Source organism: Homo sapiens, chromosome 18, assembly GCF_000001405.40.
Source record: "Homo sapiens chromosome 18, GRCh38.p14 Primary Assembly".
NCBI lineage: Eukaryota > Metazoa > Chordata > Mammalia > Primates > Hominidae > Homo > Homo sapiens.
Genome location: NC_000018.10, coordinates 63,737,992 through 63,762,012, shown reverse-complemented (window position 1 = coordinate 63,762,012; position 24,021 = coordinate 63,737,992). Strand labels below are relative to the sequence as shown.

Below are 24,021 nucleotides of genomic sequence, written 5' to 3'. Positions count from 1 at the left end.
GAGTCCTAGAAGAATTAGAAACTGTTTTCCACAGAAATGTAGACCTGAAAGATAAGTTGGATCAGGTCAGACCTAGAAGACAGAGAGGTGGCCCCAGCAGGACACGCCAGGTGTATTAGTCTGTTTTTGCACGGCTGATAAAGACATACCTGAGATTGGGAAGAAAAAGAAAAAAAAGTTTAATTGAACTTACAGTTCCACATAGCTTGGGAGGCCTCATAATCATGGCAGGAGGTGAAAGGCACTTCTTACATGGCGGCAGCAAGAGAAAATGAGGAAGAAGCAAAAGCGGAAACCCCTGATAAATCCATCAGATCTTGTGAGACTTATTCACTATCACGAGAATAGCACAGGAAAGACTGGCCTCCATGATTCAATTGCCTCTCCCTGGGTCCCTCCCACAACATGTGGGAATTCTGGGAGATAAAATTTGAGTTGAGATTTGGATGGGGACACAGTCAAACCATATCATTTAGTCCCTGGCCCCTCCAAATCTCATGTCCTCACATTTTAAAACCAATCACGCCTTCCCAACAGTCCCCCAAAGTCTTAACTCATTTCAGCATTAACCCAAAAGTTCACAGTCCAAAGTCTCACTTGAGACAAGGCAAGTCCCTTCTGTCTATGAGCCTGTAAAATCAAAAGCAAGTTAGTTACTTCCTAGATACAATGGTGGCACAGGAATTGGGTAAATACAGCCATTCCAAATGGGAGAAATTGGACAAAACAAAGGGATTACAGGGCCCATGCAAGTTTGAAATCCAGCAGGGCAGTCAAATTTTAAAGCTCCAAAATAATCTCCTTTGCCTCCAGGTCTCACATCCAGGTCATGCTGATGCAAGAGGTGGGTTTCCATGGTCTTGGACAGCTCTGCCCCTGTGGCTTTGCAGGATACAGCCTGCCTCCCAGCTGCTTTCATGGCCTGGTGTTGAGTGTGTGTGGCTTTTCCAGGCGCAAAGTACAAGCTGTCAGTGGATCTTCCCATTCTGGGGTCTGAAGGACAGTGGCCCTCTTCTCACAGCCCCACTAGGCAGTAGCCCAGTAGGGACTCTATGTGGGGGCTTCAACCCCACATTTCCCTTCTGCACTGCCCTAGCAAAGGTTCTCCATGAGAGGACCACTCCTACAGCAAACTTTTGCCTGGGCATCCAGGAATTTCTATACATCTTCTGAAATCTAGGCAGAGGTTCCCAAACCTCAATTCTTGACTTCTGTGAACCTGCAGGCTCAACACCACATGGAAGCTGCCAAGGCTTGGGTCTTCCACCCTCTGAAGCCATAGCCCGAGCTGTACATTGGCCCCTTTCAGCCACTGCTGGAGCAGCTGGGACAGAGGGCACCAAGACCCTAGGCTGCACACAATACGAGGACCCTGGGCCCAGCCCACAAAACCACTTTTTCCTCCTGGGTCTCCAGGCCTGCAATGGGAGGGGCCACCATGAAGGTCTCTGACATGGTCTGGAGACATTTTCCCTATGATCTTGGGGATTAACATTAGGCTCCTTGCTACTTATGCAAATTTCTGCAGCCAGCTTGAATTTCTCCCCAGAAAATGGGTTTTTCTTTTCTATCACATAGTCAGGCTGCAAATTTTCCAAACTTTTTGCTCTGCTTCCCTTATAAAACAGAATGCCTTTAACAATACCCAAGTCACCTCTCGAATGCTTTGCTCCTTAGAAATTTCTTCCACCAGATATCCTAAATCATCATTTTCAAGTTCAAAGTTTCACAAATCTCTAGGGCAGGGGCAAAAAGCCACCAGTCTCTTTGCTAAAACATAACAAGAGTCACCTTTGCTCCAGTTCCCAACAAGTTCCTCATCTCCATCAGAGATCACCTCAGCCTGGACTTTATTGTCCATATTGCTATCAGCATTTTGGGCAAAGCCATTCATCAAGTCTCTAGGAAGTTCCAAACTTTCCCACATTTTCCTGTCTTCTGAGCCCTCCAAACTATTCCAACCTCTGCCTGTTACCCAGTTCCAAAGTCACTTCCACATTTTTGGGTATTTTTTCAGCAACACCCCACTCCTGGTACCAATTTACTGTATTAGTCTGTTTTCACGCTGCTGATAAAGACATACCTGAGACTGGGAAGAAAAAGAGGTTTCATTGGACTTACAGTTCCACATGGCTGTGGAGGCCTCAGAATCATGGGGGGAGGTGAGAAGCACTTCTTACATGGTAGTGACAAGAGAAAATGAGGAAGAAGCAAGAGCGGAAACCCCTGATAAACTCATACGATCTCATGAGACTTACTCACTATGACAAGAATAGCATGGGAAAGACCAACCACCTTGATTCAATTACCTCCCTCTGGGTCCTTCCACAACACATGGGAATTCTGGGAGATACAATTCAAGATGAGAATTTGGGTGGAGACACAGCCAAACCCCACTTCAGGGGTAGGAGAGAGCATGGGAGCCCTTCCAGTTACCAGATGAGCTACTGGTAAAAGGCAGAGAGGGAGAAAACAAATAGAAAGAAAAAAATAATAATGGAAGAGGAAAGCCTGGTACTACAATAAAAAAGAAAAGAAGGATTCTTAAAAATTGGTTTTGGAAGGAAAAAAACCTACATATGCACCCAGAGAGGCCTGTGTGCTCTCAGTTAAGCTCCTTTGTCATGTTCTTCTGTGAAGGAAAATAGACATTATTTTCCAATTGTCAATTTTAATTGGAAAATTTTTGAACAATTTTAATTCTTTAAACAGCAATGCTCCAGGTAATGGCATTACTGACCCTTGCCTACTCACTTTTTTTTTTTTAATTCAGATTACAAATCACTTGGAAAAACACAATACATTTAATAGTTAAACACCAGCTTTAAAAAACAAAAATGAGATGCATTAAAATATAAGATAGGATAGGATACATCAGAAGAGTAGAATAGAATAGGATAGACCATGAAGCCTACTCATAGCAGGAGCAAATATTCTTTTGTGTGTATGCACCCATGCATATGATCAAGTAGAAACGTATTAGGAGGTCATTATCAAAATTACTTGACAGCCACTCACCAAGAAGTGGGTCCACATTTAGTGATGATTCCACTCAAGGCTTGACATCCCTTTAAATTTCTTCTTAAACATTTAAGGCTTAATATGAAAACTCTTGGACCCCACCACTCAGCACAGTTCTTGCTCTTCACGCTTTAGTACACTTGGACTCTGTGAGGATGCTGTAGTGAGCTGGGCTTTCTGCCAAAGCAAAGAGTATAACTCTCAGAGTATTCATTCTTCTTGGTGAGGGGGTAGAGGGCTAGAAGGAGGTGGGACCATCACATGCTATCACCAAGATTGTCGTGAGGATTTCCTTTTTAAGCTTTATAGCAGAGACCCAGATAATATGACCTTCTGGTCATTGGAGGGAGCAGGGCCTAAAGAATTCTTTTCTTATTATAAAAAATATCCCTGAAATATCTTTCTACAGTCAACTGCTACCTCTCCAGGGGCCAGATACAGAGGATTTGAGACCAGCTGATAATAGACACATTATTCTTATTTAGAACCAGTTTCTACACGTGGGTAGATTTCCCAGTGCTTCAGCGAATCAGAGAGCATCTTTAAGAAAAGGGTTCATGAATTTTTGCTTCACTTTATATTACCTGATCTTTTCTAGACAGTAAAAAATTCAGTCACTATAAAATTGAAGTCCTATCAGGCAGAAAGTGAACAAGCATCTGAGGAAAAAGATATCTGTTCCATTGCTGTTGTTGATGTCTGCTTCTGGCCATAATTAGTTATTGGGATAAGTCATGGTAACAACGCTACTAAAAATTTCTGGGGGTTTATATCTTTTAACATTTTAAGATCACATTGATCATGCCTTTGTTATCTGCTATATAGGCCAAAGTTGGCAATGACAATGATACAGTATGTGTGTTTGTGCATGCATGCATGTACTTTAGAGAGAGAAAGAGGGAGAGCAGGAGTGATAGAGAGAGAGACACAGAGAGATACAGAGAAGCTACGCACCATGAGAATGTGGCAATGTGATAGTAACACAAAGTATGAAGAAATGCTTATTAAAATGGAAGGACAACACACCCTTCTGATCCTCCTGATGAAGCTACTTGTACTTGAGGGAGCAGATTAGGGATTCATAGGCAATCAAGAAAGGAACCCTTGGCAAAACCTAGGAAGGTAAACTAGATTCTGGACTTGAAGGGGTGCTCTGCTATTATTTTGTTTAGCATACTGCCAGTGCTTACAGTTAAATGAAAGATTAAGCAATGCATTGTAGAAGGTTACAGAATGTGTTTCATTAGGAACTCCCAAGAGCAGAGATTGGTCAACTTTTTCTGCAAGAAGCCAAATAGTAAATATGTCTGGCTTTGTGGGCCATGCATTCATCCAGCACAACTCAATTTTTCAGCAGTGACACTAAAGCAGACATAGGAAATATGTAAGCAAATAGACATGGCTGTGTTTCAATAAAATTTTATTTATAAAATCAGGTGTCCAGCCAGTTTTGGACCAATGACCAGAGTTTGCCAACCCCTACCCTAAAGTCCTTGGCAAACAACACAGTTAAATCTTGACAGATCTGTAACTGACCTTACAACTTTATTGCACCAGCTAAATCCAGCAACAGATAATAGCAAATTAGCATCTCTCTTGATTTTCACAAGCTTTGATATTATTAATACTACTTAGTTTTTGATTCCCATTTTGCAGCTGAGGATTGAGATTTCAAGTTATTCAATTGCTTTCCCAGGGCTATACATGTTATAATGGATGAGAGAGGATTTACACACCATTTTTTGGCTTTATAAGAATCAGAAAACCTGAGCTAAATTTTCATTTTGTGGCTGATTGAATTTCCTAGACAAAGAATGTGAAACTCAGAGTGAGAGAAAATTTTTGCAATCTATCCATCTTACAAAGGTCTCATATCCAGAAACCACAAGGGACTTTAACAAATTTACAAGAAAAAAAACAAACAACTCTATTAAACAGTGGGCTAAGCACATGAACAGATACTTCTCAAAAGAAGACATTCATGTACTACTAACTCTTAACATGGAATGGAAACTTTCAAAAATGGTGATAGCGATTGAAATAGGAAAAGGTATAGAATTTGAGTGAAAGAAGGCTTTTAATTCACTTTATTGCCAACTACAAAGAAATTAGAGTCTTTATAAGTTTCTTTATTTCTACTCACAGAACACACACACACACACACACACACACACACACACACACACAAGCTACCCCAAGACCCTGGAAACAACTGGCAAAACCCAAAATACACAATAGAAATATGGGAGGAAAATAAAGTGCCAGGCCTTCCCACCCTAGATGATCCAGATGCTTATTAATGCCCTCTAATCTCACAGAATCTTCTTCTCAAGCTCCTCAAATAATGCCGAGCATGAAGGTGGGAACCTCTACCTATCCTCCACCCTGATCTCTACCAGGATGGAGTGGAGACCTGGGCCCACTCTGTTGGATAAGAGTGAATGGCTGTGTGGCTTTAAAAAACCTTTAATAAGAGACTGGTTTGGGCTTATTGATGCATTGCTGTGTCCTCATTTGATCCCTCTGCTGAGTCCTGCACATGAGTCTGGAACTAAACCACTCACAAACTGGTATTCCGTGTTCCATGGACAGAAAGACAAGTTACTCTGTGATATCCAGGAAAATCCATTCCAGTTTGCCCAAACATTTTACACACCCACACAGTCTAATGATTTTCTGGTATCTGGTACATGGTAGAGTTTACAATTTCACATTGAAACAGGTAAAAACATGTGGAAGAAACATTTCTGGCCTTGGCTTTGTGTCTGCTAAGGCATGTTCTTGTTAGTTAATACCTGTGCACATTGAGGAAAAGCACCTACTTTTAAACCTCAAAAGTTCATGTGTAAACACTAAATATATTACATATATGAGTGTGTGTGTGTGTGTGTGTGTGTGTAAACCCTATATATAATATTTATATTATATTGTATTATGCTGTAAGTGATGTATATATATATTTATATATCAATGAACATTGTTACTATTTGTTTCCACCGTTCTTGACTCACTGTAATGACCTTATATAAGAACTTTATACTTTTTATTCACAAAATGATTCATTTAATGTCAACAGTTGAATAGAAGTTTTTGTTTTAGAGACAGGGTCTCACTTTGTTACCTAGGCTGGGGCACAGTGGCATCATCACAGCTCATTGCTGCCTCAAACTTCTGGGTTCAAGCAATTCTCACACCTCAGCCTTCCAAGCAGCTGGGACTACAAGTATACACCACCATATCTAGCTATTTTTTTTAATTTTTTGTAGAGACAGGGTCTTGCTATGTTGTCCAGGCTTGTCTCCAATTCCCGGGCTCAAGCAATCCTCCCACCTCAGTCTCCCAAAGTGCTGTGGTTACAGGACTGAGTCACTGAACCTGGCCTAAATAGGGACTTAAAATATTCTTCAAATTGCAGATCTGTTAAGCATAGCTTGCCTCACTAATTCACCTTTTAAAATGATACTTTTTCAAGCGAATTTTGCTCAGCTAAACCTCAAACTTCAGTGTCTGCTACTGAAACAAACTAGTTATGAAAAAAGAAGGCCAGTAGAAAGAAACTAAGCTCAGTTTCATGTTTGTCTTTAATTTTTGTCCCTATTCATGCCTCCTGCAATCCAAAAATTGCTCTTGACTTCTCATAAAGAAAAACTGAAAACAAGGAGGACACGAAATGAAAAGAATCCATGAAAAATGTATTTTTCATCCATTTCAGAAGAAATAGAAGAAAAAGAAAGTAAAGGCCTCTAACTATAGCCTGAAACACCACCTCAACTTAAGACCTCAGTTTAGGCCGGGCGCGGTGGCTCACGCCTGTAATCCCAGCACTTTGGGAGGCCGAGGCGGGTGGATCATGAGGTCAGGAGATCGAGACCATCCTGGCTAACAAGGTGAAACCCCGTCTCTACTAAAAAAAAAATACAAAAAATTAGCCGGGCGCGGTGGCGGGCGCCTGTAGTCCCAGCTACTCGGGAGGCTGAGGCAGGAGAATGGCGTGAACCCGGGAAGCGGAGCTTGCAGTGAGCCGAGATTGCGCCACTGCAGTCCGCAGTCCGGCCTGGGCGACAGAGCGAGACTCCGTCTCAAAAAAAAAAAAAAAAAAAAAAAAAAAAAAGACCTCAGTTTAAACAATGCTGGGCACTAGAAAATTGTTAGGACATTTTCCCTGCCTGTCCCTTCAAAGTCCGTGATCTAGAAATAAATTTGAAAATCAGACTACAGTGTGAAAACAGTGATGGTGGAAGTATTTCTAAAGTGCTTGAAGAAGTGCTTGAGAAAGCTTCGGAGTGGAAATGATGCTGAAACTCCATCTGGCAGAGGGAAGGAGAGAGACTAGCAAGGTCTGCTGGGTGGAGGGTGGGGCTCCAAGGGAGGGACTGATACCTGCGTGTCCTGCCCACCCTCCTAACCTGAGTCTCTCTCGGGACCACCCTAATGACTAGTGTTACCTCTGACCAGCGTCTTTGCTCCTCTAGGGACCACCCTTAGACGACAGGGCTCGTACCTACTAAATGCCTCTTATGATTATCTGTTTACCGGTGTTCTCCTCAGCATTACCTATGGCAACGAGACCAAGTTCAGACAGGAAAACATAATCTGATTAGTTCTCCAAGAATGAAGAAGACAATCTGTTTTCATTTTGTAACAAACCCGAACCCAGCCTTCATTCATTCAACATAAATGAAACTACATATTCCCTTGGCGTGAAATTTATTTCTTCCTAATTCTATCCTCTATCAATCTCTAAACCACATTTCAGACAAATGGTAGACTTCATAACTCTTTAAAAAATCTTCCAGAATAGATTTATTTAAACTCTGTCAAGAAATCAATGCGATTTTATTTATTAACATAAGTAAACTACTATGCTTATATATTAGCATTAAAAACCCTGCCAAAGACTTTGGATGAAAATCTTCCAGATACAACTATGATTAAATACAAGATGTTCTGCTGTTACCATTTCTGTTCCATCAGCCACAGGTTTTAGAATCTTTTCCCTTCCCATGAGCAGCCCACACTCTAGTTTGTTTATATTGAGGGCAAAAATATTAGCAGAGATGTCAAGGTTGTAAGTCATTGTAGAAGACAGTTATAAGATGGAGTTATTCTAAAGCTCAGCTATACATAGTTTGGGATTTGTTGGAGAACCTCTGATTCTGAATCATTCTATCAAGTACTCAAAAGTGCCTCATATTACTAAAAAATTTTTTTGAAACCTCAAACCTCTCAAAATTGTTGCTAAAGTTGCCAAATATCATTGATTATAATCAACAAGGAATGTCCAACACATAGAAGACCTTTTAGGGAATTATCATCATGGTTGTATTGTGATCGACCTGGGAGTTGGCATGTAACTTGTCACCTGGGTTCTGGATCATTTGCTTAACAAAAAAGTAAAACTAGCTTGTAAATATCAATTCATTCACTCACATATATTTAATCAGTAGGTCTGTGACACCAGAGATAGAAAGCCCAGACACAGGTAGTAGATATAGTTGGTGTATGAGCTATCTTGTATAAGCTTAGGGGTCTATTCAGCCGTCAGTAGGCACTTTTTTTTCATAAGGTAAGGAATAAAGCTGAATTTTCTCTATTAAATATGTTGGCCAATGTTATAGATGCGGCCGTCAATTGTCATTCTAATCCCCAAGATTAGTCTACAACAACCATGTGGAGAACAGAGATTGGCTGTGGTTACCCTGGAAAGGGGTATGTGTCTGCCAGAATCCCAGATGCCAGAGGTAAAGCTGTTACTTTGACAGCAGGTAAATGCTCAGGGCATGCAGCACCTCAGGCACTAGGGGCTGTCCATCCATCTTAGGGAATCTAAGCATACTCAGAAGCCTAGAATAACCCAGCATAAGCACTCACCTCCTCTCACTGCAGTCTGCGGCCTTCACAGCTGGGCTTCAGTTCCTCCTGCCTCCTACCTCCTAAGACTTCTCACTCCTCCCAGCACACCTATACCAAGGTTCAGGGAAAATTCCCAAGACTTCCCTTTGGCTCAACTCCCAAGGGAGAGGTTGATGACAGCAGCAGCACTGGTGACAGCACTGAATGAAAAGTCCCTCCTTCATCCCAGACTGCACAAAGAGGAAAATCATGGAGGGAACATCAGGAAGGGACTCCACAGGGGCTTTCCTGTCCAGCTCAGAAAGGCACTTGTCATCTCCCGACTCTGCAGGAAGCACAGAGGAGTGCCCCATGGTGTCGTGTTGCTCATCCTTCCATTGACCAACAAACCAGAGAAGTAAACATTCTAAAGATTGTCCTTTCACATTCCCTTTCCAACTGTGTGTGCCTGGACATATGGCAGGTTGTAGCCTTAGAGTCAGGAATCAGGGCCAGCAGGTTAGAACCAGGGAAGGACCCAGGAGGGAGCCAGAGCCAGGAGAACAGACTTTGGACAATCCAATCCTCCACCGAGGACCAAGGTTAGATGCCTGGGTTTTATCTATTTCCATGGCAGTCATTGACTAGGGTTCAAATGGTCTCCCCAAAAGAGGAGGTGACTCAAGTCACAGATCTCATGATAAGTTTGCAACATACAGATGGTTTTTACCAATATCAAGTGGCAATATACAGCTCTGGAGAAGCACTGACAGCCCACATACACAGCAGAGACCAGATATTCTGAGACAGACTCAAGATATACCTTCCAGAAAGTATGCCCTTGGATGCAAAATACATGAGGTGGGGTGTCACAGCTAAGGCTTAGAGCCACGCAAACCTGGGTTCCAATTCCAGCTCCCCATCTTGGACCCATGTGACCTTTGAGAGGCTCTTCAACCTGTCTGTATCTTGCTTCACTTGTTTGAAAAATGGGGAAATTTTTCATAACGTCATGGTTAAGAGTATTATAGGTAACATGTAAAGTACTTAGTACACAGTAACCACTTGATAAGTGTAGCTATTATTATAATAATAAGTTGAGACAGGAAAATCCAGGATGTATGAGTACTCCACCTATCCATATATTGCCTATTACTCAAGGCCACCCAAACTTCCACCATTTCCATCATCTTCCATATTATTATGAGCCTATATTGAGTTCTTTATTTCTTAATAATATTCTTTTATCATATGATTTTACTAAATATTTCCACTGCTGTATAATTTTAGATTGTCACTCATAAGTCACTACTTACGTCACTTATAAGTCATTTAGTACAAAATCCTTTCCTAAACACAAAAACCAAGCCATGCTGTTTTAAAATCTACATTGTGTTGAACATACTACAAGAAACCTGGTAAGCACTTGATAAGTAGGTGCTTAATTAATTGCATTTTAGGTACTATTTTGGGTTGGTCATGATGATAAATATCCGTTGTAAACACCTTAACAGTTCCTGCATTACCTTTCAGAAAAAGACCTTTCATTTTTTGCACTCCTCCATCATCTGTATGGAAAATACAAATTTTATCTATCTTATTAAAATATTGCCATTTTAACTTTGATATTGAATATGGTCATGGCTTCGTGAGTATGGAGACATAAATATGAATCACTATACTCTCATATATTCACTAGTAAAACCATTTCAAATTGTGGGGGGAAGATGAGTTTTGGAAACACAAATGTAATTCTCACCCACCTCATCCTATTCCTGATATAATGTTATTAGAAATGACATAAAATTTGTAATAAGGGAAACTTCCATCACTGTTGATAAGGGAATAATGTCAGTACCAGAAATTTCATGGAAAGATAACCAGAGTTCACTTGCAAATCACCGTTACAGTAAGCAATGACCTTGAGGGAGCAGGCGATGGAAGCCCTGCCCTCCACACCTGAACATGAAAACAGAAGGATGGGCGTGTGGGATGGTGCAGGCAGCAAGACCGACCGAGAATAGCTTCATATGGAATCTCTTTTGCTTATAAAGTGATGGGATTTGAAGGCAGAGTGACAAGGGATCCTAGAAATTCAGATAGATATAAAGGCAAAAAGCCCCTGAAGAGGGATTTCCTGAGATGACAAGACATGTCTTTATAGTGAGTAGTTGACTGACAAAAGTGGCCTTGAAAACCAGATGTGCAAAGAAATTCATCATTGACAAAGTTTTGGAAGAATGAATTCCCAATGTGGCTTATTATAAATTAGTGAATAAAGCAGGGTTGTTACAGCCAAAAGTGAACTGGATGACTAGCTACAGAGGACTCTGCACCTAGATCAAGGGTTTGGAAAACAACCAACACCACAAGAAAAAAAGGAAAATAAAACAAAAACAATCAAAACAGAGAAGTGACTGCACAGAAACAAATTCTCCCTACTAGGCTTGCCCATGACCCTGAATCTCTTCTTCTGTCCCGACATTTGCAACAGTGAATTAATAAAGTTTAATTACTTATGACATTTATAAAGTGATCAAAAAAAAATCAAAGTATGTGAGAGACCAGAAAAAAAATTGAAGAATATAATTAACAAGAAGAAATGAAGGAACACTTAAACAGCAGGATAGATATATCATGTTTATGGAATGGAACACTCAATATTATAAACATGTCAATTTTCCCAAATTTTCCATCTTTTTTTTTCTTTTTTGCTATTCCAATCAAAATTTAGCAGGTTTTTTTGTGTATATGTGTTGTAAATTGCCAGGTTGATTCTAAAATTTTTATCAAAAGAAAGAAGGCCAAGAATAATGAAGACAATCTTGAAGTTTAAAAATGAAATTGGAGCCTTACATTAGCAGATGCCAACTATAAGGCTACAGTAATTAAGACTATGATATTGGTGCAAAGATAGGCAAACAGAGCAGCAGAATAGAAGAGGGCGGCCAAAAACAGACCAGCCAATTTCATGTTGCTTTCAAACAAAGTCACCATTAAGTAAAGGAAGAGGGACAGAGAGTCTTTCCAGTAAATGGTCTGGATCTACTGGATATCCATACCTTTTTCAAAAAATGAAGTTTAATCCATATTTTACAGGGGTCACAAAAATAAATTTCAGATGGCTTACAGATCTAAAGTAAAATGATTAAACAAAAAGACTTCTAGAAGATAACAAAGGGGAATATCTTCATCAACTTGGTTTAGACAAAAATGTTAATGGATCACAAAAAGCATTAACTATAAAGAAAAATATTAATAAACTGATTTCATTAAAATTAAGAACCTCCAGTCATCAAAAAAATCTCCTTTAAGAAAAGAAAAAGACATACCACAGAGTGGTAGAAAATATTTGTAGAGCTCCCAGATAGCTTCTAGATGGTGGAGGTTCCAGGAGGTTGGCATGCCCAGGGAGGACATGGAAGCTCCGTGACCCTTCCTATAAATAAATAAATAAATAAATAAATAAATAAATAAATAAATAAATAATTTGCAATAAATATTTCTGAGAAAGATCTATTACCCAGAATGTATCAAGTAATTCCACAAATCAATAATAAAAGAAAAGATAGCCCAGTAGAAAATGTCAAGCAGGAACTTCACAAACAATTTGAACAGAAACTTCACAAATGAGAAAATCCAAATGTCCAAAAGCTTATGAAAAAATTCTCAACATCATTAGTCACCAGAAAAATGCAAATTAAGACCACAGTAAGGTACCACTGCACACCCATTAAAGTGAGTATTTTTAGTAAGACTGGTAATACAAGTGTTGCTGAGGATGTAGAGGAACTGGAACTCTCATATATTGCTGATAGAAGTATAAATTACAGCAACTACTTTGGACTACTCTTGAGAAGTATTTTCTAGAGCCAACCTTAGGTCTATGTTATAATCCAGTTGTTTCAGTTCTCAATAGAAATGCGTACCAAATTAGCTGCATATTCTGCTTCTTTCATGGTTTGCACCTGTATACTGAGTGTCAAATTTCAGAAATGGGAAGAACTAGTCTCCTTAAAATTCAGTATGTGCAAGCAAAATGTTGACTTTCTTTTTTTAAAAATTATACTTTAAGTTCTGAGATACATATGCAGAATGTGTAGGTTTGTTACATAGGTATACATGTGCCATGGTGGTTTGCTGCACCCCTCAATCCGTCATCTAGGTTTTAAGCCCCACATGCATTAGGTATCTCTCCCAAAGTTATCCCTCCCCTTGCTCCCCACCCCCCAAACAGGCCCCAGTGTGTGGTGTTCCCCTCCCTGTGCCCATGTGTTCTTATTGTTCAACTCCCACTTGTGAGTGAGAACATGGCGGTGTTTGCTTTTCTGTTCCTGTGTTAGTTTGCTGAGAATGATGGTTTCCAGCTTCATCCACGTCCCTGCAAAGGACATGAACTCATTCTTTTTTATGGCTGCATAGTATTCCACAGTGTATATGTGCCACATTTTCTTTATCCAGTCTATTATTGGTGGGCATTTGGGTTGGTTTCAAGTCTTTGCTATTGTAAATAGTGCTTCAATAAACATACGTGTGCATGTGTCTTTATAATAGAATGATTTATAATCCTTTGGGTATATACTCAGTAATGGGATTTCTGGGTCAAATGGTATTTCTAGTTCTAGATCCTTGAAGAATCACTACACTGTCTTCCACAATGGTTGAACTAATTTATACTCCCACCAATAATGTAAAAGCATTCCTATTTCTCCACATCCTCTCCAGCATCAGTTGTTTCCTGACTTTTTAATGATCACCATTCTAACTGGCGTGAGATGGTATCTCATTGTGATTTTGATTTGCATTTCTCTAATGACCAGTGATGATGAGCTTTTTTTTCATGTTTGTTGGCTGCATACAAAAATGTCTTGTTTTGAGAAGTGTCTGTTCGTATCCTTTGCCCACTTTATAATGGGGTTGTTTGTTACTGTTTTGGAAATCTGTTTAAGTTCCCTGTACAGTCTAGATATTAGACCTTTGTCAAGACTTCCAAGACTATTGACATGACTGTGAGTCTAGAAAATTGATTAAGAAACCTCAGTAGTGTCTCTGTTCCACATCCTATACACTTTCTTCATGAAGACAGTGTACATTGAAAGCCTAGAAGGTGGATATGAAGAATCAAGGAAGTAAGTAACCCTCAAATATTATTCCTAAATTTTGTCTCCTGCATTTCAATTTTAAAAATTAAGCAAATAATAAATATACATTAATAAGGAATTATTTATATAAATCCTGCTGTATCCTGTAAATGAATACAGTACAGCGCTTAATAATTATTTTATAGAGAATGCTTATTGAGAGAGATATGCTCAGAATATGTTAAATACAAAAAGAAACTTAACATGGTATATATAATATGATCCTTTCTAAAATACAAATTTAGATATATGTGAATATACACATAGGAAAATTCTGGGAGAATATTTGCATAATTTTAACAAAGTTTAGAGTTGAGGGAAGAATTATTAATAAGCTATTTCTTTGAGGTTTTCTGTATTTTTACATGTTTATATCACTGTATAAATTTTTGTAAATAGGCCTCTTTATATTTTCAATGAAATTAAGAGTGTAGAACCTATTCCATTAATTATTGTTGGCATTTTCTCCCAGTATTTTCAGAGCATAGCTTCTCACTTTAGAAATATTAAAACTGAGGTGAAGAAAGCTTTGGTCTGGGAAAATAATTAGCCATCAGTAAAAAATATTATATCTAAAACTGGTCAACAGATAGTAGATGTAGAGTAGATGTACATTCTTGATCATCTAAGAATGAAAAATGAAGCCAGCAGAATAGCAATTTGGCCAAATAGATAACACAGCATAATTATAGAGCAAAAATAGAACCTGAAGTTTGAGGGCAAGAGGAAAAGCAGAATTAGCATTGTCTCAGAGAATCTCCTCAAAGGTATTTATTAACTACAAAGTTGGGGGGAAGTAACTTGGCACTGGAGAAATCAGCAATCATCAAACTGACCAAGTGATCGAGTTAAACATCACCCACCATGAGACACACCAACATTGTAAATACCTTGATGCGGTGCACTGAGGACACAATATTATGTCCTGAGTTTTTACCAAAAATGCATACCCTCATTTATAATTGGATAAGTCAATACTAATGGACAATCTATAAAGTGCCTAATCAGTACTCTTCAGACTTGTCAAGGCGACAAAACACAAAGACCAAGGAACTGTTAGAAAATGGAGGAGACTCAGAAGAAATAGTAACTAAATGTAACGGGAAATTCTGGGTAAGATCCCAGAACCACAAAGGCGGCATTAGTTGGTGGGTAGGGGGCACAAATGGGTACGATTCAAATAAGGTGTATAGTTAAGTTAATACAGTTGTACCAATAGTATTTTTTACTCTAGATATTTGTACTATGGTTATGTAAGATGTTAATGTTTTGGTTAATGGGCTGAAAGATATAAGGCCACACTTCATACCATGCTTGCTTTTTTGTACGACAAAGACTCTTCAAATTAAAATAGGCTTTTAAAAATGATGTGCTCAGAACATGAAAAAATAAAGCGAATAAAATTTCAAATATCTCGGGCCCCTACTGTAGGCCAGATACTGTTCTAGATGTGGTCATGAATGAGATGGCCAAATTTCCTACTCTGTAATGTATACTCCTTTTATAGATTTGGCAAACAATGAATATATAAAGGGGAAAAATGGAGCTCTTACATTCATACTGAAAGAAAATTTAATCAGTAGAAATTTGTAATGATAGATATTTATAATGCCTAAGTGAAATACCCCACAAACTATTTTACCAGGAGAATCCAAGATAAGATTTAGAAATTAAATACCATATGCCTATCACATCCTCCTCCCCCTCCTACAACTGAGTCTGCTATCTAGTGTTTGGATGGTAAACTGCCATCCATAGTTCACTAGAATCTGTACAAAATCTTTCCACGGGTTTTGACCTGCCAGTTAGCATGTATGAATTAAATATGTTCATTTTCTTAATCAGAAATATCAAGTGTTCTCTACAGCTTTCAAATAACATTCAAATTTATCGATGTGGGATTCAAATGAGTACACAATCTGGTCTCTGTCTATCGAGTGTAAAGAAATAAGAACTCTGGGCTGGGCGCAGTGGCTCATGCCTGTAATCCCAGCACTTTGGGAGGACGAAGTGGGCAGATCATCTGAGGTCAGGAGTTCGAGACTAGCCTGGCCAGTATGGTGAAACCTCACCTCTACTAAAAATACAAAAAAATTAGCCAGGTGTGGTGGCGGGTGTCAGTAACCCCAGCTACTTGGGAGGCTGAGGCTGGAGAATCGCTTGAACCAGGGAGGTAGATGTTGCAGTGAGCCAAGATCGTGCCATTGCACTCCAGCCTGGGCAATGAGAGCGAAACTCCAGCAAGAAAGAAAGAAAGAAAGAAAGAAAGAAAGAAAGAAAGAAAGAAAGAAAGAAAGAAAGAAAGAAAGAAAGAAAGAAAGAAAGAAAGAAAGGAAGGAAGGAAGGAAGGAAGGAAGGAAGGAAGGAAGGAAGGAAGGAAGGAAGGAAGGAAGGAAGGAAGGAAGGAGGAAGGAGGAAGGAAGGAGAGAGAAAGGAAGGAAGAAAAAAGGAAGGAAGGAAGGAAGGAGAAAGAGACAGAGAGAAAAAGAATTCTGGAGTTTCTTCACCATTATATTTATTAACTTCCTATGTGATCTTGGACAAATCTTTCAAATTTGTTGGGTTTTAGATGATTTATGTCTAAACAAAGATGCTTAGACCAAATGATCTCAAAGAATTGTCATGGCCATAAGTATGATAAGCCCATATCTCTCTGAGCCCTTTTTCTCCTTCCCTAAGATCCTCCATTTGGGGTCTGACGCCCTCAACACCATCATCCCCTGTCCTAATGATGTCCTGCTATGTTTGACCTCCTAATCCTCCTCATGCATCAAAACTAGCTAAAGTCCTAACCCCTCTACAAAGCCTTTCCTGACAAAAACTTCTTTTTCATCTAAATTCCTATACTTACCTTGACTATATCGTTTAAACTCAACAGTAAGAAACATGAATTTGCAAAGAATTCTGACTTGTAAATATTACATAAAATATTTTAAAGGGCTAAGAAAGAACAACTTTTGGATATACAGTTAACCAATTACTTTAACTTCATTAAAAAATACTATGATACATCAAAGCTAGAAAAATCAGTGTGTGGCTCCTGATGCCCCTTCAGGAAAATGATACAGCCTGGCGGTTATGTACCTAGGCTTTGGACTCAAAAGATCTGTAGTAGATGTATTTTTCAAAGACATTCACAACAAAATTTCCTATCCTACACAGTTTTCTAGAATTCTGCCACTTGCCCTTAAGAGTTAGAGTCTAATTAACATCCCCTTCAATCTGAGCAGGTTTGGGATTTATTTATAACCCATAGAATGTTGTATAATTGGAGCTGCTGCATGATTTCATATATATATGAAATATATATGAAATATATATGAAATGTATATGTGAAATATATGTATGAAATATATATTTCATACATATATTTCATATGTGAAATACATATTTATTTTATATATATTATTTTATATATTATATATATTTTATATATATTATATATATTTCATATATATTTCATATGTACATATTTTATATATAAAATATCCCTAGCCAGAACAACCAATCAAGCCCTTCACAAAAAAAAAAAAAGAGAGAGATAATGAAATGACTGCTGCTCTCTTAAACCACTAAGGTTTGGGGTAGTTTGAATTGCAGCAATAGTCACTGAAACGAAACTTGAGTTTAGATTCTGGTTCTTTGACTTACTGTGTGTCCTCAGGTAAATTGCTTAATCTCTCTGAGCCTGCATTGTCTAAACTTTAAAATATGGTTGATTGTATCACCTACCCTGTTGGTTGCTGTTGCAGAACAAATGACAAATAACTATAAAACACTTAACACAAGGCAAGCACAGAGTAAAACCTCAATAAATATCAACTATTATTATTAATAATTGGTATTTTTTATGATTCTCTGATGTAGCCCTTAGGATATTTGAGAACCTATGTTTTCCTTGCTTTATTTGGCCAAAAACTTAAGTGACAACTGTAAGTTATACAGCTATGATCTCCTACTGAGCAATAGGCACATGTCTTTGGCAATTGCTGTTACTTCCTCACTGTACCTTTTCTTTTATTTTAAATACAAATAAAATTTTATTTGTATATCAAAGACTCTATGAAATGATAACATAATGTTAACAGAGTTGATGTCAAAACACCAATAGGTTTGAAGTTATAGATGATAAATCACTTTGTTTCATTCAACCTTCCCTCGATTACATTATAGAGCATCCCTGGTATGCTCCCAGTTGAATCTTAAGTATGATGTATCTCACTGTGTCTTTTCTACCCTGCTGCTGGGGAACTTATTTCCAAGGCATCGACCTCTGCAGCCACCTGCATAAAAGGGCCAAAATGGTTGTAATTTCTTTGAGGAAGCCTGTCCCTGGAGCTAAGGTGTAGCTGTTGTTCTCATCGGCCCAAGCCACGGCCAATGGTGTTCTTGCCTGTCCTCTCTCCTGGGGCCCTTTCCCCTGGAGCTGTCTACATAATGTGGAAATAAAAATCTTCAAAGGGAGCTATCCCACTTGGCATGGTATAGCTAAGCAAACAGGTTTCAGGGTACATTACAGGCTCCCCACCTTCTCAGAGACTATTTAAACCCTATCCCATTCCTGACTTGCTTGTAGACTAAGTCCTCCCCAGATCTACCCCAGAAAACTCCAATTCCAACTTCATCCTATAATAAAATATAGATGTAATAATGTTAAATGGGACTTGTCTCATTTCTGAGTTTGTCTGCTGGTCCAAGGCAGATATTAGCAGATAATAAGCATGCATCATGCTGTAAAGAGGGCTACCAGGGCATCCACTCAAGATAGGCCAAGACACCATGGGCCTGGTCTGATGACCCTGACCTCAAGGCTCACATCCAAGATACTGGAGAGGATGCTGAGGATTTTCCCCTGGAGGTTAGAGAATGGGGGTTTCTTGGGAGGAAAAGGGGAAAGGGATGCTGCTTCTCTCCACATGAAGGAGAGGGGGATAAATTCCCCATACCTTATACCATAGGCGGGGGAGCTGGATTTAAGAGAAAGAAAACACACATAGAGAGGGAGGTACTTGCCACTAGGAGAAATCGACATCTCCCGGGCAACTGGATGTCTGCTGGGATGCAGAAACCTTGAGCCTTGTGAAATAAGGAGTTCAGGGCCGGGCACGGTGGCTCACACCTGTAATCCCAGCACTTTAGAAGGGCAAGGTGGGCAGATCGCTTGAGGTCATGGGCTCAAGACCAGCCTGGCCAACATGGAGAAACCCCGTCTCTACTAAAAATACACAAATTAGCTGGGCATGGTGGTCAGTGCCTATAATCCCAGCTATTCGGGAGGCTGAGGTACGAGAATCCCTTGAACCCAGGAGGCAAAGATTGCAGTGATCTGAGATCATGCCACTGCACTCCAGCCTGGGTGACAGCAAGACTCCATCTCAAAAAAAAAAAAGAAAAAAAAAAGACAGAGAGAGAAAAGAAAGAGACAAGCACTAAGTCAACAATGACCTCCCAGCACAAAGGCTAGAGGAGTACTATCACACACAAAAGCTGAAACAGAGAGGATGCATCTGTATGGTGGGTGAGAAAGTTTGTAAAAGTCAAAGGTTCTAGGACCTGAGCCAGGAAAAAGCTTAGCCACAGGGAGGAGCTGATTTCTGCAGTGAGCAGTGCAGTGCTCCATCTAAACTAGTGTCGTTCATCTCAAAGGCTTAGTTGTGGGACTGAAGGAGAAGCTATAGAGAATCAGAATTAGAACTCAGTTCTCTAAACTGCAAATTTAACCCCACCCACAAATGTACTGGGTGTTACTACAGCAATAGCATGGAGGACAGGACATTGACTCTGAAGCTGGGGCTTCCTAGGCTCAAATCTTGGCTCTGCAACTAACACTGATCTAGGCAAACCACTGACATTGTCCAATTCTCTGTCTTCTCATCTTGGACTGAAAATAGCAATAAGACATGCCACGTAGAGTTATGGGACCAAATTAGTGAGATATGTACAACGGTGCCTGGCATGAAGTTATAATACTGCAATAAATGTTAGCTCTTGTTTCTGTTGTCATCCTGGGCTTCCACAAGGACAGATTATATCTTTTATTCATCCCGTGTTACTGTCTCATCCACAAGGAGGAGCTCAATACACACTGGTTGACAAAAGGATTATAACTTTAATGTAAAAGCTGAATAAAATTTCAATGAATAATGGGCAAAACTCGTTACCTTATTTAATATTAGGAAACTTCATTTTGGAGATGTCAGAAGATTCTTGATCATCCCTAACAATTCTTTTTTTTTTTTTTTTTTTTTTTGAGACAGGGTCTTGCTATGTCACCCAGACTGGAATGCAGTGGTGGGATCTCGGCTCACTACAACCTCTGCGTCCCGGGTTCAAGCAATTCTCCTGCCTCAGCCTCCCGAGTAGCTGGGATTACAGGCACCCGCCACCATGCCAGGCTAATTTTTGTATTTTTAGTAGAGACAGGGTTTCACCATGTTGGCCAGGCTGGTCTCGATCTCCTGACCTCGTGATCTGCCTGTCTTGGCCTCCCAAAGTGCTGAGATTACAGGCGTGAGCCACAACGCTTGGCCAATCATCCCTAACAATTTTACAAGATTTGAATCGTATCCTAACAAATCAGCAACCACTAAACAGATAAGCTCTCTGTTATCAACACCTTGAATTCAGTTAGACAGTCTGGGCTTCCCCTTTCTAAACTGTAGCTTAGATCTTCTGGGAAACCAGCTCAACACAAGTTGTATTTTTAACCATCTGATATATGTAGTACACAGGCTTTTTCATCTCCTTGCTAAGAAGAGAATGTGTATGTAGAAATAAAACATTTTTTTCTACACTGTAACCTGAAGCCACCTTAACTTGCTTATAGAACAATCTTATTAGAATTGTCAGTGGAGCTCTGTCATGGGCCAAGTTCAGTGCACTAACTCCACCCAGCTTATCTCACTCAGGCCATTGCTCTTCACTTTGCAATTCTACAACATAGTAGGTACTAAAAGCATCAAAACAGTTAAAGAATGAATTCTGTCATTCATTCAACTGATATTTATTGAAGATCTACCATGCTCCCGGAATTGTTGTTGCTGAGACAACACAAAAATATAAAACCCCTGCCCTCATGAAACTTACATTCTAGTAGGGAGATATTGCCAGTAAACAAGATAAATAAGTAAAGTGTATGTCAAGAGAGAAGTAAATGCTAATGAGAAAAGTAAAACAGCAAAGAGGGATTGAGAGTGTGTACTGAGGTTGCAATTTAGATAGAAGCTGAAGCTCAGAGTCTGATATCTCTAAGTGGGAATTACGAGCATGGCCAGGGTCCCAGATGGACCCCTGTGATTATGCAGGAATTCGGGTGGCATGGGAGCACATGAAGAAGTGGTGAGGGAGCCTAATGGAGATTATTTGAATGAGGAAAAAAGAAACATCCTGGAAAGAATTTATGCTCAAGTGCAGAGTCAGAGTCAGGATGTCCATGACCAAAGGACGTGGTTCAGGCTGGGAGATGAGGGGTGATTATGCAAGCAGCCCACCTGTCTGCTCAGGTCATGTTCCTCTCCCCACCACAGTCTGAATCTCAGAGAGAAAAGGCACCATGGAACAGTTCAAAGAACTTCTGCAACATCTGAACAAGACTGGGAGGTCAAGTCAGCCCTGATTAGAATGACAGAATGGGATTACAGCCAACAGATGGTGAGAGTCTTGCCACCCCAGCTTCTACAACCAGCCCAGAAATACCTGACAACATCAAATTCTCAAGCCCTATGGGCAGGAGCAGCAGCTCCAGGAACTCAGGGACATTTGGCCAGAAGCAGTTGTAGACATGGCAACATCAGGAGGGTCAGACCTTCATGAACCTGTCAGCTAAGTCATAGGCTTCACCATTGTTCTGTGAGCTCAGGACATGGGAGCAGATTTTACACTGAGTAAAGCACGAGGAGTTCAGGAAGAGTGGTGAATCTCAGAGAGGGTTTGGGGGAACCAGAAGAAGGAGGAGTGGGATTCAGAAGAACACACAGTTATCAGTGGGATCTAATCCAGACTATTAGTTTGTTGTCATCTGGAAGACACAGGCTATAAGGGTGATACAAACATTTAATTAACAAAAAGCAGAATTTACAAAAACAAATCTCTGGCTCGGATATAGAACCTGGAGTCTCTAAATACTGCATGTTCTCTTATAAATGGGAACTAAACAATGGGTCCACGTGAATGTAAAGATGGAAATAATAGACACTGGGGACTCCAGAAAGGTGGAAGGGTAAGGGGGCAATGATTGAAAAATTACCTATCAGGTACAATGTTCACTGTATGGGTCATGGGTACATTAGAAGCCCAATCCCCCAAAATTGGCAATATACTCTTTTAACCCCTGAATCTGAAATAAATTTTTAAGAGAAAAAACCTGGAAACCCTGCCAAATCCCAGTCTGGTAAATTCCCACCCAACAGTTTGCTTTTTTGTTTTGTTTTGTTTGTTTGTTTGTTTGTTTGTTTGTTCTGAGACAGAGTCTCGCTCTGTCATCCAAGCTGGAGTGCACTGGCGCTATCTCGGCTCACCGCAAGCCCCACCTCCCAGGTTCACGCCATTCTCCTGCCTCAGCCTCCTGAGTAGCTGGGACTACAGGCGCCCACCACCACCCCGGCTAATTTTTTGTATTTTTAGTAGATATGGGTTTCACCGTGTTAGCCAGAATCGTCTCAATCTCCTGACCTCATGATCTGCCCGCCTCAGCCTCCCAAAGTGCTGGGATTACAGGTGTGAGCCACCGCGCCCAGCCCCCCAACAGTCTTATTACCTCTTAACAAAGAGACTTTTTAACAATGATGGTCAAAGATTCTCCAAGACCGTGCTGGGGATTTCTTGGCATGGTCACGTCATGGTTATTGTGGATGACTATGACTCATGTCCAAATTACTGGACAATTCCATCACCCAGTTAAGCACCTAATGGTGCCTGTCACTGTGACACCTAAATTGTCAGAGATGCTGTCTACACATAACCAAAATAAACCATGAATAGGTATTTTATCCCCACCTTCAAAATGTTCTAGTTCTGCCAAACTGATTACTAGCATGTAAAATGCTCCTCTGTGATTTATTTCATGTAGTTTATAATGTACCTTTCCCGTTATAAATATGAGCATCTGGAAGCCCAAATGACTTTTCTAGAATGCAAATCTGACCAAGTCCCTATCTTAGGAAGAGAACCCTCACTCTTTGAAATTGGGTCTACTAAAAGGACCCTGCCTATAACAGTCTTCTCATGACACCGATTACCCTATTGTCATTACTACCCTAAAGCTGTCTTCTCTGCCAAAATATAAATCCTCGCCTTATAAAGACAAGGACTGAGGCTTTGTGTTATTCACTGTATATCTCTGTGACTTAACATGGTATCTGGGCCAGAATTGGTGCTCAATAAATGTTTGTTGAAGAAATTAATCTGCTGGGTAGGGTGGTGCACACCTGTAATCAGAGCTACTTGGGAGAATGAAGCAGGAGGATAGCTTGAGCCCAGTAGTTTAAGACCAGCCTTGACAAAATAGTGAGCTCTTGTCTCAAAAAATAAATGAAATTGAATAAGGGTGTCAATGAATTTTTAAAATGAGAATCTTTTAAAGTCATTTACTCTTGAGCAGTAAATCTATTGTTGGCTAGAGGTGTATGTTCCTTTTTGGGTCCTGTTGAGGCCAAGCTGGGTACCTCATTGATCTCTGCTTTCTCTGTTGACACAAAGAAGGAACAAGTGCCATCAGTGGATAGGATAAAAGGGGAAGTTTCCTCTACAAAACTAGGGTACCAGAGGAAGAAGACAGAGGTCAAGAGAGTGTGATGTGTAAAACTACATCAGTTTTCTGCATAAAGTGTTTCAAAACATGGAAGAAAATAATAAAAGTGGAGAAAAATTAGAAAATCACTCATGTGTATAGATGCTACTGGCCTGAGTTTATGACAAAATGCGGTGGAGAACTGAGAAAATAAAGACTCCTAAATATCCTCACTTGTGTTATTGAGTTAAACGGAAGTTGGAAAAGATTCAGAATAGCCAAGATAATATTGAAGAAGAG

General features: G+C 39.8%; 1 protein-coding gene across 1 annotated transcript in view; it reads right to left on the bottom strand.

Annotated features, from left to right (window-relative positions):
* The window catches only part of SERPINB7 (serpin family B member 7), a 52,314-nt gene extending 43,358 nt beyond the window's left edge, over positions 1-8,956 (bottom strand). Inside the window, exon 1 of the mRNA NM_001040147.3 lies at positions 8,893-8,956. The gene's annotated coding sequence lies outside the window, so the exon portion shown is untranslated. The remainder of the gene's footprint in view (positions 1-8,892) is intronic.